Source organism: Homo sapiens, chromosome X, assembly GCF_000001405.40.
Source record: "Homo sapiens chromosome X, GRCh38.p14 Primary Assembly".
NCBI lineage: Eukaryota > Metazoa > Chordata > Mammalia > Primates > Hominidae > Homo > Homo sapiens.
This window is the reverse complement of record NC_000023.11, coordinates 26,234,307-26,240,306: the sequence shown is the minus strand read 5'-3', so window position 1 is coordinate 26,240,306 and position 6,000 is coordinate 26,234,307.

The window sequence follows — 6,000 nt, the reverse complement described above, 5'->3', positions numbered from 1 at the left end:
TGCTGTCTTAATCAAACATATTCATACCAAAAATCAATGTTTATTTTTAACGTATGTGTTATTCACTATATTATTCTTTATATATTCTTGCATATTTTAGTTATGTAATAATAGCATTTTTAAAAGGGAGCCTGATATGGTTTAGCTCCGAGTTCCCATTCAAATCTCATGTTGAATTGTAATCCTCAATGTTGGAAGAGGGACCTGGTGGGGGTTGATTTGCTCATGGGTGTAGGCTTCCTTTTTGCTGTTTTCATGATAGTGAGTGAGTTCTCATGAGATCTGGTTGTTTAAAAGCATGTATCGCTTCTCCCTTCACTCTCTTCCTCCCGCTCCACCATGTGAAGAAGGTGCTTGCTTCCCCTTTGCCCTTTTGCCATGATTGTAAGTTTCCTGAGACCTCCTCAACTATGCTTTCTGTACAACCGGTGGAACTGTGAGTTGATTAAACCTCGTTTTTCCACAAATTACCCAGTCTCACATAGTTTGTTATAACAGTATGAGAATGAACTAATACAGAAAATTGGTACAAGAGAAATGGGGCATTGCTATAAAAGATACCTGAAAATGTGGAAGTAGCTTTGGAACTGGGTACCAGGCAGAGGTTGGAATAGTCTGGAGGGCTCAGAAGAAGACAAGAAGATGTGGGCAACTTTGGATCTTTCTAGAGACCTATTGAATGGTTGTGACCAAAAGACAGATAGTGATATGGACAATGAAGTCTAGGCTTAGGTGCTCTCAGATGGAAATGAGGAATTTATTGGGAACTGGAGCAAAAGGTCACTCTTACTATGCTTTATCAAAGAGACTGGTGGCATTGTGCCCCTGCTCTAGAGATCTGTGAAACTTTGAACTTGAAAGAAATGAGTTAGGGTAGCTGGCAGAAGAAATTTCAAAGAGTAAAGCCCTGAAGAGGTAACCTGGCTGCTTCTAAAAAGCCTATACTAATTTGCATAAACAAAAAATGACCTGAAACTAGAACTTATATTTAAAAGGGAAGCAGAGCATAAAAGTTTGGAAAATTTGCTGCCAGACCATGCAGTAGAAAAGAAAAATCTATTTTCTGAGGAAGAATTCAAGGCTGCAGAAATTTGCATAAGTAAAGAGAAGCCAAATGTTAATAGCCAAGACAATGGGGAAAATGCCTCTGGGGCTTTTCAGAGACATTTGCAGCAGCCCCTCCTGTCACAGGCCTGGAGGCCTAAGGGAGAAAAATGTTTTTGTGGACCAGCACCAGGGTCCTGCTGCTCTGTGCAGTCTCAGGACATGGCACCTGCATCCCAGCCACTCAAGCCCCAGCTGTAGCTAAAGGGGGCCAAGGTACAGCTTGGGCTGTTGCTTCAGAGGTGCAAGCCCCAAGCCTTAGCAACTCCTATATGGTGTTGGGCCTGCAGATTCACAGAAGACAAGACTTGAGGCTTGGGAGCCTCTGGCTAGATTTCGGAGGATGTATGGAAATTCCTGGATATCCACTCAGAAGTCTGCTGCAGAAGCAGAGCTCTCATGGAGAACCTCCCCTAGGGCAATGTGGAGGGAAAATGTGTGGTTGGAGCCCCCATACAGAGTCCCCATTGGGGTACTGCCTAGTGGAGCTGTGAGAAGAGGGCTACCATCCTCCAAAACCCAGAATGGTAGATCCACTGACAGCTTGCACTGCGCACCTGGAAAAGCTGCAGGCTCTCTATCCCGGCCCTTGAAAGCAGCTGTGGGGGCTATACCCTGCAAAGCCACAGAAGTGGAGCTGCCCAAGGCCTTGGGAGCCCACCCCTTGCATCAGCGTGCCCTGGATATGAGACATGGAGTCAAAAGAGATCACTTAGGAGCTTTATGATTTAATGACTGCCCTGCTGGGTTTTGGCCTTGCGTGGGGCCTGTAGCTCCTTGGTTTTGGCCAATTTCTCCCTTTTGGAATGGGAGCTTTTACCAACAAAAAACTTGTTTTTTATTTTATAGGCTCATAGGCAGAAGGTACTTGCCTTCTCTGAGATGACACTTTGGACTTGGACTTTTGTGTTAATGCTGGAATGAGTTAAGACTTTGGGGGACTGTTGGAAAGGCATGGTTGGTTTTTGAATTGTGAGAAGGACATGAGATTTAAGAGGGGCCGGGGTGGAATGATACGGTTAGACTATGTGTCTCCACTCAAATCTCATTTTGAATTGTAATCCCCAATATTGTGGGAGGGACCTGGTGGGAGGTAATTGGATCATAGGGGTGGATTTCCCCCTTGTTGTTCCCATGATAGTGAGTTTTCATGAGATCTGGTTGTTTAAAAGTATGTAGCACTTCCCCCTTCACTCTCTTCCTCCTGCTCCACCATTTGAAGGTGATTGCTTCCTCTTTGCCCTTCTGCCATGATTGTAAGTTTCCTGAGGCTTTCCCAACCATGTTTCCTGTACAGCCGGTGGAACTGTGAGTCGATTAAACCTCTTTTCTTCATAAATTACTCAGTCTCAGGTAGTTCTTTATAGTAATGCAAGAATGAACTAATACAGTGCCTATGTTAAAGGAATACTTATAACCTAATTAAAATATTAGGTTTAAATGTCCTCATCCAAGAAAAGAGGAAATGAAGGGAAATAATATTTGAATATTGTCCACTGTATTAGTCAGGATATGATAAGCCATCCTACAATATTTTAAAAAACTCAAGACCTTATCGTATCAGAATTAAAAATGTTTACTTTTGCACACATTTTATGACCAAAACTGCTCCAAAAAGTGTCTGAAAGAACCAGGCTGATGAAGGGTCTGCTAACTTGCAGCTGCACTAAAGGTAATGCTGGCCATTCATTGTTACCATGGGAGGGGAAAATGAACTGGGTATTTGCATGTGGTGTTTGAACAGGCTTGGAAGTGGCAAATATGACTTTTACACTTCTGCCTGCATTCCTCTGTCCATAACACAGTATTGTGGAATGCTGAGAGATGTAGTTCTCCTGTGTACTCAGGAAAAGAAAATGAACACGGATTGGATGAACATATGGCATGATCTCAGCCATAGCCATCATGATAGTAGTATCTTTGCTACATTATTGCATTCAGTCATCATAAAAGCAGTATGATAGTAATTATGATCCATGGATGAGGAAACCGAGACTCAGAGACGTAGCTTAATTTACTTGAAGTTAAACAGCAAGTAGATGGCAATATAGAGTTCGTTATTTAATAAACACACTAACACATACACACACAAATACACAGACCTGTGATTTAGACAGAGAGTTTTGAAACACTGACTTGATGTGAGTGATTTGAAATCATAGACCCTCCATTGAGTATATTAACTGTTAACTCAAAACAGTTATTCTGAAAAAAAATCCTAAAATGAATATAACCTGAAATTAAAACTCCAGCATCAATTTTTAGAATTATGACAAATGGAAATCTCTGATTAGCATTGTTACCCTAGATATCAGCAATAATATGAAGAGTCATAGTTTTTAGTTATTCTTATCTGTTCTTTCCACTTTGGTAGTCAAAAAAATCTTGGAATTTTGACAGCTTTCATCACAAAGCAATATACATGCCTATTTCTTGCACCTTTTGAACTTTAATGTCTTAACTTATTATTTAGTGTTTTAGATGTCACAGAGGTCCATTTAACTGCCTGAACAATTTAGAGAATAATTAGTAATTAAACACTATTTCTTATGACAATAATAACTCTTGCAAAGCAGTAAAACAAAATGAGGTATCTGATGAAATTTATGACTTAACAAATATACTTTAAAATAGTAACATAAAATAATATTCATCAGCAAAAATCTCTGGGAATTTCAGGACTACATAAACCAAAACAAAAAGTGGAATTTATGTACATAGCCATCACATTTGCTCCACATTGAAAGATTATTCAACATCAATTTTTTAACCCAACCACTGACCTCACAGTCCAGAAGTATAATTTCTAAATGCTTGTCCTGAGTTTTTTGACTGGATTGTTGCCATTACCTGAAACTCCTTATTTTAGATAATACAACAAGGCAAGGAGGGGATTTAAAGTGTGTCTTCTTGTTAGTACCTTTATGGTCCCTCTTCACTTCTCACATTCTATGGACCTTTATTGTTCTTAAAGGTTAAAGGTATTCATTTGTTCTACATAGTAGTATTTTTTTCTATTATCTGGCTTGGAAGGATAATGCAGTGAGCTGATTAAGTTAATATTCTGTTTGAAGAATTGATAGAAAGTTCATGCAAAAATAACCAGTTTCCAAGAGCATGTGATTCAACACAAAATAGCAACTATAATTCAACATATAATGCTGTTAATCTGTTGATTTGCCTATCTTATACATTCACTGAGTATTGATAATATGCCTTATGCTGTCCTGCACACTGGGAATAGAGATATTTTCAAAAGATAATGTATGTTATTTAATCTTATTTGATTGTTCAAATTAAGTATCACTATATTAAAGTATATTAGGAGCATTGTTAATTACTGTGCAAGATAATTTAATGGAATTCTAATTTGTGGTATTTTTGTTATTTTCACAATATCCTAGCAAAGACTACAAAATAGAAGACATTGATTCATTATTTTCTTTATTACCTCAGCCATTTAATGATTTTTACTTCCAGCTAAATAATCAGATAAAAAATTTAACTCAATGACAGGTAAGTACAATTATTTTCTTCTACATAAATACATTTTGGATTATACGTGTGGGATGATCTGACTTAAATTATATATATATACATTATATTCAGCACAATACTTTCATTTTATAAAGAACAGTGTGCTATATCATTTTAAAGATTTTTGTTAAGAAATTTACTTACCCTTAGTTTTCTGCAATTAATTACAGAAAGTTCTCCCAGCTATATAGAATTATGCTATGTAAAATGAAATTCAAAAGACAAGTAACTCTTATTTGCAAAATGAATAACTCCCCATCTGCAAAGGCTAAAAACAAATTAGTAATTTGAGGGTTGGAAGAATTTTAATCAGTATGGTCACATGAATGGAAGTCAAAAGAAGAAATTTTAGCTTCTGTTTTATGCATTGGTCCAAAGAAATTGTTTCTCTAAAATAAATTTTATACACCACTGGACCACATCATGAACTAGTCACATTTGATTCAAAAATAATCTTACTATAATGGGAACTACCCCTACAATTCTCATATGCCAAACTCTTAAATTTCCAAACATTGCTTTAAGAATAGTATCATATACATGGATAGCAGGTGGCTTAGATCCATGCAGTATTTCAGCTTTGTGGCCTAAATTTCAGTTTTCACAAGCAGCTTTTCATGCAATGAAAGTAATTTTACATGTTAATTCTAATGGGACTCCCATTACTACTCACAATATGCACTCTTTGTAAGAATGGGCATTATTATTTTGCTATCTAGTGTACACACAGAAGGCTAAATGCCATCATAAATTATATATTACTATTTCTGAAATCAATATTTTAAAAGATTTTATTTTTTTAAATAATTACATAGAAGTGGTATTCTAGACAAATTACTTGATTTATGTAAATTGGCTCTGGTCTCCTGGTAGGTATATCATAGATTTCCAAGGAAAACTAAGAAGTTCACCATTCCATAAGCTATGTGATTATGGATGCAAATTAAAATATGAATGCCATTACTAATTTTGTGTGACATTTTGCAAACCACATAGCACTATATTTATTGGGTCGAATTTTAAAATGACTTATTAATCCAAGACTAGTAACACTGATGGAAAAATAACTCGAAGAAAATAATGTATGATTGTATGAAAAAATGTATTTAAATGCTCTATTATTTAAATATTATTGTAGAAGGGAATGCACATTTCTTAAACAACTTTTATCTTTTAAAGTGTGAATTCAATGAGACCAGAAAGAATCCTGAAAAAACTAAAAATCAATCATAAAAGCCTTCACTTTTGTTTACAATCCTATTATGTACATAGTGATATTCAGCCACTTTTTGTTTCTTGAGCCAGCAATACACAAGCCTTTTGCCATTGCCATTTCAAACATGTGGTGAAAAATAAAAT